This window comes from Homo sapiens, chromosome 16 (assembly GCF_000001405.40).
Source record: "Homo sapiens chromosome 16, GRCh38.p14 Primary Assembly".
Lineage (NCBI taxonomy): Eukaryota > Metazoa > Chordata > Mammalia > Primates > Hominidae > Homo > Homo sapiens.
Window position 1 is genome coordinate 78,019,905 of NC_000016.10, and position 13,859 is coordinate 78,033,763.

Below are 13,859 nucleotides of genomic sequence, written 5' to 3' on the forward strand. Positions count from 1 at the left end.
AGTCTTGATTTGTTGCCCATGCTGGAGTGTAGTTGTGCAAACATGGGCCACCACGGTTGAGGCTATGGTAGCCTCAACTTCCTGGGCTCAAGTCATCCTCCTACTTCAGCCTCCTAAGCAAGCTGGGACCACGAGCACGTGCCACCGCACCCGGCTAATTTTTTCTGTTTTTTGTAGAGATAGGATCTCATCATATTGCCCAGGGTGGTCTCAAAGTCCTGGGCTCAAGCAGTCCTCCTGCCTCGGCCTCCCAAAGTGCTAAGATTATAGGCACGAGCCACCACACCTGGCCCATAACTTGAAATTTTTTTAAAAGGATTTAGGAAGATGGCAAAGAAAATTTTTGATCAATTGTAAGATCAGGTGTAAATCATTGATCTTTTCCCCTGTTCAAACCAAAGCACATTTTCACAGCCCAGGTCTTCTGGAGTTAATCAAAACTGGATTGTAATTTCTACTCAGTTCCTTGAGATCTTAGTGATGTTAGACAAAAACCACTTAACTTTTGAGGCTCAATCACCTTTAAAATGGAGATAATATTATTACTTATCCCACAGGCTTGCTGTGAAGACTAAAAAGATGGCATTCCATAAATTGTATGTACCATTGTAATTAATGGTAAGGATCTTATTATTAAATACTGGACATTGCGCTAAGTGCTTCATAGCCATTATCTCATTTAATCTTTCCAACAGCCCTGTAAAATAAGCATTCCTAGCCCCCACTGTTAAGATGAGAGAAGCCTTATAGAGGTTTATTGACTTGCCTGAGATCACACAGCTAAGCGGTAGGTTGTGAACTGAGCTCAGCCTGTCTTCACAATGTTCTCAAATGCCCATGCATTAACTGCCCATGTTGGTACAAAGAGTCAACACCGGAGGTCAGATCTTTAATTGTACAGTTACTTTGCTGAATCATGTCAGACTTTCCTACATCAGTGGTCTTACTATGGTCTTACTATATTGGTAGGTTACAAAATGGCTTTAACTTGGAGGAAATGAAGATGAAATAGACTGTGGTTTTTCTCATTAAGATTCAGAAGGAAGCACTCATTCCTTGATTCTTTCTGTATTGTCTCAAAGAAAAAACAAAGGCAAAATGAACTTGGTCCTTCAGACCTTCCAAATCTGCAACCACTGCCCTCCATTTGCACCTGGTCAGCCAAATAAGCATGTGGAATGCAGGAAGGCCTTTCCCTGGGTCTAAATTCCTCCCTCTCGGCTATTCCTGTAATGCAAGTCCATTGCTTTTGATGCAAAAGCCTATCAGGTCCCGAAAACTTGCCCTTAAAGCCTATGGTTAAAGGTAGGAATAATTGAGTTTCTCATTACATTAATTTTATTTTTATTTTTTATTTGAGAAGGAGTCTGGCTCCGTCGCCCAGGCTGGAGTGCTGTGACAAAATCCCGGCTCACTGCAACTTCTGCCTTGTGAGTTCAAGCGATTCTCCTGCCTCAGCCTCCAGAGTAGCTGGGACTACAGACTCCTGCCACCACGCCCAACTAATCTTTTTGCGTTTTTTAGTAGAGACAGGGTTTCCTCATGTTGGCCAGGCTGGTCTCGAACTCCTGACCTCAAGTGATCCACACACCTCAGCGTCCCAAAGTGCCGGGATTACAGGCGTGAGCCACCACGCCCGGCGAGTCTCTCACTAGGTTTCTGTGCTATTACATCATGCACTTGAAAGTGTTGTTTAATGTGTTCAAGGAAAAATGATTGGTGAGGACCTGAAAAAATAGCTATTGATCTATTACATTAATTCTTATTCTAATGGAAATAATTCACTTTTTAAAATTTTCTTTTCACTGTAAGGTACATTTTCCCAAGAAAGTAATTTGCCCGGGCTGGAGGGCAGTGATCTCGAACTCCTGGGGCTCAGGTGATTCTCACACCTCAACCTCCCAGGTAGCTGGCATTACAAATGTGTGCCACCATGCCTGATGAATTTTTTTATTTTTTTGTAGAGATGGTGTTTCGCCATGTTGCCCGTGCTCTTCTCGAACTCCTGACCTCAAGGGATCCACCCACTTCGGCCTCCCACTGGGACTACAGGTGTGAGCCACCACATGCAGCCCCAAGGAAGTAATTCTTGATGAGTCTACAAAATCCTAATGGAGGAAAGCCCTATATTTTATCATCGAGTATCTATTTCCGCAATCTCCATAAATCCCACTGAGAAAACTACTTCCAAGCTACACTTGAGCTGCGCAGACACATGAGTATGAGTAGACACACTGGCTTGAATGGTGCTGTGGCACCACACACACACACACACGCAGTAACTTTCCTTTTTCTCCAATTTTTTTTTTGCCCTGAAAACTAAATTGAATCCATTTTCCAGAACATTTAGTGAATTTCAGAGTTCCAAATCAAAGAATTTTTCACAAAGACCCCAATCTTCTCAGAGTTTAAATTTAAAAAAAGAAAGCAGGCTAAACCTGTAGTTAAGTTTGACACACTCCAAAAAGGCAAATCACTAGGAAATGCAGCAGAAATTAAATAAATAGAAAGCCTAACATGAGGCACAAGAACAAGAGGCCACCTTATGCTGTGGCCAGCAGAGGCATTCAAACATTCCGTCAGCAGGATTCCAGCCAACCTCCGAAGCTCACTTTTATAAGCCAGCCCCAGGCATCCCAGAGCAAGATGTAGCTGTGTAGTCTCCTTCCATAGCTGCTCTAAGGGGGCTGGCAACATGGCTCAGCAGGCTTGCCCCAGAGCCATGGCAAAGAATGGACTTGTAATTTGCATCCTGGTGATCACCTTACTCCTGGACCAGACCACCAGCCACACATCCAGATTAAAAGCCAGGAAGCACAGCAAACGTCGAGTGAGAGGTAATGGGGCTTCTCAATCAAGCAAAATTCTAGGCTTAGACAGTGTGGGGAGGTGCTGGACAATGTTAATTTTCAAACTCCTCCAGGAGACTATCTTCGGTGATGGCACCATGCCATCATCCCTATATGGCATTTCAGGGGATTAAGTGAACTTGTAATGCTCTGGGATAGTTTATTTTAAAGAAACCAGGCTGCTGGGTTTTAAAAAAAAACAACAGGGAAAAAATTTGATAGTAAAAGAATTCTGTGTTGTATATTTTTTGTTAGGTGGGCTTAAATAGAATGTGCTTCAGAGGAAGCTCAAGTGGATTTCTGAAAATCTGGTGTTATTAATATGGGGCAAGAAGAATGTATTAACTGAGCACACTGTTTCACTAGTAGATATTGAGTAACTCAATTCAGTTATATTTTAAGATAACTATAATCTTATTCAATGTGTAGCAGAGGATAGAGATTTTGGTAATGGTGACTTCCTGTTTTGTCATTAGTTATCATTAGCTGTATTTCCATATCCTTGGCAGCATAAGGACAACCTATACCATATATTTAAACTTTTTCATGTCAGAGACATTGAATCTCTCCAACTTAAAAAAGTCAATATGCAAAGTCATCTAGTATTTGAAGGCATTGTGATGCAAAACTGAATCTCCCAGGAACCTCAAATTTTGAGTGACTTGAATTGGGTTAACAGGTTAAAGAAATTGAAAAGAACAATGATGATAGCGAGGTGTTTGCAATACGTTGAAACCTAAGCAAAAGAAAAAAACAAGACAGAGGGTCATGTTTTATCACATCCTCTGCATCATTTTCATTTCAGGATATTTCAGATTATGACTATTTCCTTATTTTCACTCCATTAGTAACAACACACACATACACAAATTTCAGCAAGGTTACAGTCTATTTCACATGACAGATGGCTGGTGGGTAAAAAGGGGTCTTGTGCTTTAAGGATTATAAAGTACCATTTTTTCAGGGACATTTATTTACAAAATTTAGGTCTGGTGCAAGGTTTCTTTTTTTTTTTTTTTTCTGAGACAGAGTCTCGCTCTGTCGCCCAGGCTGGAGGGCAGTGACACAATCTTGGCTCACTACAAGCTCCACCTCCTGGGTTCACGCCATTCTCCTGCCTCAGCCTCCCAAGTAGCTAGGACTACAGGCGCCTGCCACCACGCTCGACTAATTTTTTGTATTTTTAGTAGAGACGAGGTTTCGCCGTGTTAGCCAGGATGGTCTCGATCTCCTGACCTCGTGATTCGTCAGCCTCGGCCTCCCAAAGTGCTGGAATTACAGGCGTGAGCCACCGCGCCCGGCTAGTGCAAGGTTTCTTAAGTGGAATCTTTTTTCCTTAAGAAATACTGTACTTCTTTCGGTGAAAGATTAAAATATTTCTCATGAGTAGATGAAACATATTGCTGAAGATGGTATCGAAAGGAGAGGGGAGAGAGAAGATACTGGGTGACATGGTACATTTCTGTAGCCAGCGTTTCTTCACTGCTGGATGGAGTGGCACTCCTCGTGAGAGTGGCGATCACCCAGTAGGAATGTGTGAAGAGGGTCTGAACATGACTGAGTGTGCATGTGGGTGCTGTGTGGGTGTTTCTGAAGTAATCGCAGCTTAGGTCACATCCAGGTTTTCCAGGGGCCTCCCTCCCCTTCCTCCTCCCACTCTCTTCTCTCTCCCTACCTTCTTTCCCACTTCTTTACCCCCTTCTTCCCCACTGCCTCTGTCATAACCACATGTGCATGCACATGCTTTTATTTAAAAACAAAACAAAACAAAACTGACTAGGTACACACCTCTTAAATGTCATTCCCCCAGTATAGTTTTTGCTACTTTTTGCCATTAGGTCCTAGAAAGTAGATTCTACAGTAGGTGAAGCAATAAACCTAAACCGATCAAGCAATTATATCCCCACCCATCCATATACTTTTAAAATAGTTTAAGTACCTTGAAATATAATAATACCAGTGTTAAAGAGATCAAAAGTGAAAGCCATCTTCTCTCTCCCAATCCTCACCACAAAATTATCCACTATTAACTATCAGGTAATACTATTCCCAGAAGTTTTGTGTTTTGTTTTTTGTAGGATTGTTTGTTTTGAGACAGAGTCTCACTCTGCCACCCAGGCTGGAGTGCAGTGGTGTGATCTCGGCTCACTGCAACCTCTACCCACCAGGTTCAAACAATTCTAGTACCTCAGCCTCTCAAGTAGCTGGGACTACAGGTGCTCGCCACCATGCCCAGCTGATATTTGTACATACATCTTTTTTAGTATAGATGGGGTTTCACCATGTTGGCCAGGCTAGTCTCAAACTCCTGACCTCAGGTGATGGGATTGCAGGCATGAGCCATCATACCCAGCCTATTCCCAGAGTTTTTAAAATGCACAATTAAAATACATATTTTTAACAAAATAAGAATTGGCTATGCAGAATGTTTGGCTAGGCAAATAAATTTATTTCATCTATTAAACCTTGGATAGTTACCAGTGTAAGCAATACTTTATTCATTTTAACAGCTGCATAATATTCCATTGTTTGGATGGGTCATCACTTAATCTGATCTCTCCCAATACATCTCTTTTTGATTCAATAGCCCCAAGTAACTGCTTTGCACACATACTGCTCCCCATGTTAGGATGTTATGAGACATTTCCAGAAGTAAAATTGCAGGTTAATTATACTTTCTAATTGTCCCTCCAAATGATAACACCAATCCATCTTCCCATCTTCTGTGTATGGGAGTGCCCATTCCTATGTATTTTGACAGTCCAACATCATATAATGGTTTTACTGGCCATGTCTTCTGGGAATGACTTTTGTGTTTCTACACTGTGTCTACCTCTGGAGAGCAACAGTAAAATGAAAGGGAGCCTTCTGGGGGACTCAAAATAGCAACCGAAGAATTTAGCTTCAAACACAAGATCTCTCTGGTACTTGCTTCATAGGTCTCAATTTATGTGTTGCATTCATGAATAAAATATGACTTTTCCAGCTCAGTAGTTGTTCCACATATTCCCTTTGTTTGTTGTACATAAAAGACATCTATATCAGCTACAAAGGATGGAAGCTACAGCCAAGTCCCTGGACAATGAATTTCATAACCATCTCCCAGGAGCCTAATATCAATTCATGTGTCTTCATGTTAATTACAATGTTTACAATCTCCCAGTAGAGGCCACTTATTTAAGGAGAATGGAGCAGGAAGCTGAGAGGGATGGGGGATGACATTTTTAGAGGTGACAGCTTATACCTTGGAAGAAAGTGTTCAGCAGTCTTTGCAAGCCCGGCCCCCACCAGCTGATGAATTTGCATTCTGAATGCACCCTTACATTTTTTCTGGATTAAATGGTCACACAGGTAAAAATCTTTAGGTTATAGTATTTCTGAGCTGAGCCATGGGATGCTTTGAGAACTGATGTGTAGCATTAAGTAAAACAGAGGCAGGGGCCACCCCTGGATATTCCAGAAGACAGCTTCCTAACCCAAATGAGGAAACATCTGGCTTATGAAGCACATGTTTAAGGGGACAGTGAATTAGCACATGTGAATTTTAGACTGTCCTGAAAAATCCAGTACAGAACATAGACTTCCTCCATGGAATCCCCACAAAGAAGCAGCTGGGAACAGTTCATACCAAGCTTTAAGTATCTTCTCTGTCTGGGGCCATGTGCTCGGGACCAAGAAGGTAGAGGCAATCACTGTGCAGAAGCAGGTAAGAGGGATGAAATGAGAACAGGCCTGGAGCTGGGCAAATTTAAATCCCAATTCTTCACTTTACTAGCTGGGTGACCTTCAGCAGGTGAATTCAGCTTTCCGGGACTCTTTCTTCTGCAGAATGGAGACAATGATTGTGTCTCTCTCAAAGCACTACTGAAAGAATTGATCTCTGACAAACAGTATGTGGAAGCTTTTAATAATTTTTGTTATGATTTATAATTCCTGCTTTTGAAGACCTCACAAGCTGCCAATCTCTAAGAGAATCCTTATTACACCTGAAATTTCAATTTATCCAAGGCTTCTTGTTTTCTGCCACTTACTTATAGCCAAGATTGGTCAAGGACAGCTATAAAGATCCTTTAGCCTCATCCAGGAACATACAAGACTTAAGTTGCTAATACCTAATATAGACGTATTTCTATATGAACCTTTAGCACTTAACCCTGCTAGTAGCCACCATACCTGAGGCATGTGTTGAGTCGGAACACTGGGGACAGGGGACCTGGGGACCCAAATCAGTCAGAGTATGAATTCTGCCATGTATCTTTTGAGACACTCTCATTGGACTTGTCCTCATTCTTCAGTGGGAATCCAATTTTTCTCCCTTCATAGCTATGTTTGAAGAGCAAGTGAAAACAATTTTGTATACCATAAAGTGTGTATTCACTAGACAATATTATGAACACCTATTATGTACCAAGTATCATGTTAAGCATCAGAAGAACCAAGAATAATAAGACAGATGAAATAAAGTAAAATAGAGAAAAGAAAATATACAGAATACTCTATAAAATATGGAATAAAATAAAATGTGAACTGAGACTAGAGAATGAAGAAAAATAAGTTTCAAAGACAGATTAGCAGAAGGGATACTAAATTATAGTATAACCAGGAAAGCCTTCTCAGAAGAGGAGATATTTAAGCTTGCTAAGAATACAGGAAAGCGCTGGAGCAAGAGTGATCCTAGCAGAAGGAACACACAGGGAAGATGAGATTGAGCTCATTCTCAGATGACCCTGAAAGTCAACAAGCCTAGAGTCACAGGATGTGACTGGAGAGACAGAAGGAGCCTCATCTCACAGAAGGACCTTCTAGTATTATGATTGCCATGAAGCTCTTAAGAATCTTCCTGTCCAAGTTATTTTCTTTTTCTTTTTTTCCTTCCTTCTTTCCTTCATTCATTGTTTTTTTGTTTGTTTGGTTTTTTTTCAGACAGAGTTTCACTCCCTCACCAAGGCTGGAGTGCAGTGGAATGATCTTTGCTCACTGCAACCTCTGCCTCCCAAGTTGAAGCAGTTCTCATGCCTCAGCTTCCCAAATAGCTGGAATTACAGGCATTCAACACCATGCCCAGCTAATTTTTATACTTTTAGTAGAGACAGGGTTTTGCTATGTTGGCCAGGCTGGTCTCGAACTCCTGGCCTCAAGTGGTCCACCCGCCTTGGCCTCCCCAAGTGCTGGGATTACAGGCGTGAGCCACTTCGCCAGCCCCAAGTTATTTTCACGCATTATTTTTTGTATACACTGGGCTCAGGTTCACCAAAACCACTATTGCCTTGGGTCCTACATTCCAAAGCTTGATTTTATTTTAATCATACGCTTTTCATCCACCTACCCCATCCCACCCTAAAATTTTCCCCAGACAAGGATGGAGATCTGAAGACTCAAATTGAAAAGCTCTGGACAGAAGTCAATGCCTTGAAGGAAATTCAAGCCCTGCAGACAGGTAAGGTGCAGACCTTCTCAGTGCCTTGTCCCAAAGGAGACAGGAAAATTTCTGGGTCAATTTCTGGGGGACGTCTTTTTAAAAGAAACATTGACAAATCAATAATGTGGCCAATAAGAGGGCCCCAATGCCGGGAGATGATTGTTTTAGGAAATCAGCTTCATTTACAATCCCATTCTCCTATATATGGGTGGTATAGAAATAAAAATAAGTAGTTCAGGAATAAATTTGAAAAGTCAGTCCATACTTATTCTCTAAAGAGTAGTGAAACAGAATGAAGCCAGTATGAAATGACTAAAATGATTAGCATTTATTGGATGATAGCTAAGTGCCTATCAGGCCACCAGGACTCTCTCGGGCCACACCCAGCCTAAGATGCTGGAAGGACATGGGTTAGAACCGCAGCTTGCCAACAGGGCAGCGCCAGCGTTCCTCCCCACAGTTATGCAGCCACATGCGCTACTGCCCAGGAGCTATTCTCCAAGGGGTGAGGAAGTGAGCCATGTGGGCAGGTTTGGGAACAGCCCTGGTTTACAAGGCTCATCCCCCAAGGAGCTAATATCCTTTGTAGCAATTTCAAAAGCAAGGTGTTGAGGTTCCTCACAAGAGACCTGCCTCATTACAAGTTACTGCCTTCAGGGAAGACTGAAGTTACGGCTTTCCATCAAGTATTTATAACTCCCAGACCAGATGCATGTTACCAACCTGGGGTCATTTTTACCACAAGCAATGTTGCCTAGTAACAAGGGTGACATACTCCCTTTATCAGGCTTCCGGGGGAACAGAATTAGAAAGTTAAAAGACAGTCAAATGCTTATGCAGAAGGTGAGTTTGGTTCATCCTTTACCCACAGTCAGGTACTAGAAATTCTTTATAAACACAAATCCATTAATCCTCCAGCAACTTAAGCTATTATGATCCTAATTTTACAGATGAGGAAAATGAGGCACAAAGAAGGTAAGTAATTTGTTCAAGAGATACACAGCTAGTTAAATGTCAGAGATGAGACCTAAACCCAGGCACTATGGGCTCTGAGGCCTGACTCTCCAGTGCTACGGCCTAAAACTATCTTTATGCTCAGTTTATCCTGAATAATCTAAACAATATTACCAAGGCTCAGTTATCTGCTTAAGAAAATCCCTGTCTCTCCACATGCAAAACTAGAATTTAATTGATTGATTGATTGATTGATTTTTGAGACAGAGTCTTGCACTGTTGCCCGGGCTGGAGTACAATGGCGCAATCTCGGCTCACTGCAACCTCTGCCTCCCAGGTTCGCACGATTCTCCTGCTTCAGCCTCCTGAGTAGCTGGGATTATAGGCACACACCACCACATCCAGCTAATTTTTTGTATTTTTAGTACAGACGGGGTTTCACTATGTTGGCCAGACTGGTCTTGAACTCTTGACCTTGTGATCCACCCGCTTCTGCCTCCCTAAGTGCTGGGATTATAAGTGTGAGCCACCACGCCAAGCATTTTTTTTTTAAACAAATATTTTTAAAAATAAATATTAAATACCATCTAGTTCCAAAACTCCCAAAGAAATCCAACACAGAGTAGCAAGCATGTATATATCAGAACAGCATGAAGTTTAAGGCCATGTCTTGGGATAGGGCAGACCTGCATTTGGGTAGCTGTGATCTCACATGCTGCAAAAATTACTTCATTTAAAAAAATGTGGCTAGGCGCAGTGGCTCACGCCTGTAATCCAAGCACTTTGGGAGGCCGAGGCAGGCGGATCATGAGGTCAGGAGATCGAGACCATCCTGGCTAACACGGTGAAATCCCGTCTCTACTAAAAATACAAAAAATTAGCCGAGTGTGGTGGCAGGCACCTGTAGTCCCAGCTACTCGGGAGCCTGAGACGGGAGAATGGCGTGAATCCGGGAGGCGGAGCTTGCAGTGAGCCGAGATGGCGCCACTGCACTCCAGCCTGGGCGACAGAGCGAGACTCCAACTCAAAAAAAAAAAAAAAAAAATGCTAAGGTGTTACAAGTAACAACTTCTCTAAGCCTAAATATCCTGATATGTAAAAATAGGGGTAATAAAATACAACTTCATGGGGTTGTCAGGATTATGTAACTTAATTTATGTAAAATGCTTAGCATGTTGTCCGGCACATAGAAAATTTTAACTGTTGTCTCATCATTATCATACTTCATTCCACAAATACTTATTGCTATTTGCCAGGTCCAGCCCTAGTCATAATACACTCAAAATGCATCTTAATATGTTACACTTCACATCTTCACAGTCTGTCTCCGAGGCACTAAAGTTCACAAGAAATGCTACCTTGCTTCAGAAGGTTTGAAGCATTTCCATGAGGCCAATGAAGACTGCATTTCCAAAGGAGGAATCCTGGTTATCCCCAGGAACTCCGACGAAATCAACGCCCTCCAAGACTATGGTAAAAGGAGCCTGCCAGGTGTCAATGACTTTTGGCTGGGCATCAATGACATGGTCACGGAAGGCAAGTTTGTTGACGTCAACGGAATCGCTATCTCCTTCCTCAACTGGGACCGTGCACAGCCTAACGGTGGCAAGCGAGAAAACTGTGTCCTGTTCTCCCAATCAGCTCAGGGCAAGTGGAGTGATGAGGCCTGTCGCAGCAGCAAGAGATACATATGCGAGTTCACCATCCCTCAATAGGTCTTTCTCCAATGTGTCCTCCAAGCAAGATTCATCATAACTTATAGGTTCATGATCTCTAAGATCAAGTAAAAATCATAATTTTTACTTATTAAAAAATTGCAACACAAGATCAATGTCCATAGCAATATGATAGCATCAGCCAATTTTGCTAACACATTTCTTTGGGATTTTGCCCTTCCTGGGGTATAGGGGATCAGAAATATTGATCCATGTGCACGCAGATAAAATGGCTTCTGCTAAACAGACTAAAATCTTTCTCTCTAGTCTTTCTCACTTGTACAAACCCAGTTTGTTTTCAAAAAATCACAGTAGCAATGCAACTCATCACTCTAGAAAAGCAAGCTTAGGCTACCTGAAAGATTTTCCCTTGGAAGTTTAGCGTATGTTTGACTAACAAAAATTCCCTACATCAGAGACTCTAGGTGCTATATAATCCAAAAACTTTTCAGCCTGTTGCTCATTCTGTCCCATGCTGGCAATAATACCTTGTCAGCCCATTACCCTTATTTTGAATTGCTCCATCTCCTGGTGGGACTTGTATCTTGTCTGCCATATCAGAACACAAACCCCTGAAGAGGTTCTGATTTGATTTTTTTTTTTTCTTCATGCCTACCCTTTTTTTGGAAGTTTCCAGCCGCAATTTGAAATGAAATGACAAGGTGTATATTTGATCAATTTTCATTCCCACCATTGCATTACAACCTCTAACTTAAATGGGTAACCCTAAGGCATATCAAAGAAGCAGATTGCATGATAAACGGAAACAGAAAAAAAGAACCTACATTTATTTTGCTTTAGCATCCTTACTCTCACCTTTTATGAGATTGAGAGTGGACTTACATTTCCTTTTTTACATTTTCGTATACTTATTTTTTTTAGCCATCATTATATGTTTAAGTCTATTATGGGCAACCAATCTTTGGAAGCTGAAAACTGAATTTAAAGAATGCTATCTTGGAAAATTGCATACGTCTGTGCAATTTTTTATTCTGCCTAGTGCTATTCTGCTTGTTTAACTAGATTGTACAAAATAACTTCATTGCTTAATATCAAATTACAAAGTTTAGACTTGGAGGGAAATGGGCTTTTTAGAAGCAAACAATTTTAAATATATTTTGTTCTTCAAATAAATAGTGTTTAAACATTGAATGTGTTTTGTGAACAATATCCCACTTTGCAAACTTTAACTACACATGCTTGGAATTAAGTTTTAGCTGTTTTCATTGCTCAATAATAAAGCCTGAATTCTGATCAATAGAAAATGTGTTCGAGTGTTAATTACAGTTATTCAAAATATGTTGGTTTATATTAAACTTGGCAGAGTTTGAGGGGAATTACCCTGAATTTAATCAAACTGGTGATTCGGATATACTCAGAGAACAATTTTACCTGGCAATGAAGAGGTATGGTCTGGCTAGAGGAGGGAAACTTTTAAAAAATTTTAGCTGCAGAGGCTGGGCGCAGTGGCTCACACCTATAATCCCAGCTTTTTGGGAAGCTGAGGTGGGCGTATCACTTGAGCTCAAGTGTTCAAGACCAACCTGGGCAACAGGGCGAAACCCTGTCTCTACACAAAGTACCAAAATTAGCCAGGTGTGGTAAGGCATACCTGTGATCCCAGCTACTCGGGAGACTGAGCTGGGAGGATTTCTTGAACTCAGGAAGCTGAGGCTACAATGAGCTCAGATTGTGCCACGACACTGCAGCGTGGATGACAGAGCAAGACCTTGTCTCAAAACAGCAAAAAATGTAGCTGCAATTATATCTGGTTGATCTTGGCCAACTCCCTACTTCCAACGTAACCACAGTCTTCGTAAAGGTAATGACCATAATGAAACGGGTGGACACTGGTGAGTAAGTGCATTCTCTTCACATTTCAGGTACTATGCTAGATCTTATATAATTATCATTTATCTTGAGGAACAACCCTGGGAATTTAACCTGGAGAATTAGGCTCTAGAATCATTTCATATTACAGAAGAAGAAAAAAAAGAGAGTTAAGTTGTCCTAAGTCACAGGCCAGGAAATAGTGGAACTGTCACTGGAACTTAACAAGCTGACTCAGATCCTGTATACTTACTACCCATGGGGAGCAATAAAAGGTAAAGCCCATTCAGAAAGGCAATGGGAGTGGATTCTAATCCAGTATCTCAATTTCCTTAGGTGAAGTAACAATCTGGACTAACAGCTGACCTTGAGAAGCATTCAGTCTGAGGCTACTTCACAGAAGGTGTTTTTCCTTCCCCCTTTGCAAGGGCCCAAATAAAGACAAAGACAACCAATGTTACTGAGCATGGTGGTTCAAGCCCCTAATCCCAACGACATCAGAGACTGAGGCAGGAGGATTACTTGAGGTCAGGAGTTCAAGACCAGCCTGGGCAACACAGCAAGACATGGTCTCTACAAAAAAAATTTAAAAACTAGCCAAGTGTGATGGCACATGACTGTAGTCCCAGCTACTTGGGAGGCTGAGGCAGGGGGATTGCTTGAGCCCAGGAGTTTGAGGCTGCAAGGAGCCATGATTGTACCACTTGACTCCAGCCAGGGCAACAGACAGAGTGAGACCCTATTGAAAAAAAAAAAAAAGACAACATTTGAAGATGATCCATTAAATAAGGCAATCCTTCCCAAAGTGCCTCAAGAAGACCAAGAGAGTAAGTTAATGCAAAGGAATAGATGAAGGTTAGTGACATCAAGATGAGGGTTAGCGAATATCAAGATCAGTTAGCAAGACAAAGCACAGATGATGGGAAACAGCAAAACTGGAAGGAATGGATTAAAAGATTACCTGGTTTGTTCCTGGGTCTAACTCATGACCTCGACTTTGTTACTTAGCCAACAAAGCAGATGAAAGCCACACCCACAAGATTCCCTAACCTAGACTTCTCTTTGGTCTGTTTTGCCTGTTGGGTACTCTCT

General features: G+C 41.7%; 1 protein-coding gene across 1 annotated transcript, besides 2 other annotated features; it reads left to right on the forward strand.

Moving 5' to 3' along the window:
• Positions 279–448: an enhancer, noted in NCBI's record as "experimental_45548 CRE fragment used in MPRA reporter constructs". NCBI's record gives its function as "activates a minimal promoter by MPRAs in K562 erythroleukemia cells, with activity observed for both the introgressed and non-introgressed 16:78054165 variant alleles {active_cell/tissue: K562}" and the evidence as "EXISTENCE:reporter gene assay evidence [ECO:0000049][PMID:34662402]".
• CLEC3A (C-type lectin domain family 3 member A) lies at positions 2,644–12,197 on the forward strand. The gene is made up of 3 exons (NM_005752.6): positions 2,644–2,837; positions 8,203–8,286; positions 10,543–12,197. Exons 1-3 carry the CDS (start codon positions 2,723–2,725, stop codon positions 10,935–10,937), a joined length of 594 nt encoding a protein of 197 aa, NP_005743.5. The 5' UTR covers positions 2,644–2,722; the 3' UTR covers positions 10,938–12,197.
• Positions 13,306–13,475: an enhancer, noted in NCBI's record as "experimental_45593 CRE fragment used in MPRA reporter constructs". NCBI's record gives its function as "activates a minimal promoter by MPRAs in K562 erythroleukemia cells, with activity observed for both the introgressed and non-introgressed 16:78067192 variant alleles {active_cell/tissue: K562}" and the evidence as "EXISTENCE:reporter gene assay evidence [ECO:0000049][PMID:34662402]".

Coding starts and splice junctions, on each gene's coding strand:
- CLEC3A (NM_005752.6), top strand. CDS start 2,723: ATGGCAAAGAATGGACTTGTAATTTGCATCCTGGTGATCACCTTACTC. Junction 2,838..8,202: donor CAGCAAACGTCGAGTGAGAG/GTAATGGGGCTT, acceptor AATTTTCCCCAG/ACAAGGATGGAGATCTGAAG. Junction 8,287..10,542: donor AATTCAAGCCCTGCAGACAG/GTAAGGTGCAGA, acceptor ACATCTTCACAG/TCTGTCTCCGAGGCACTAAA.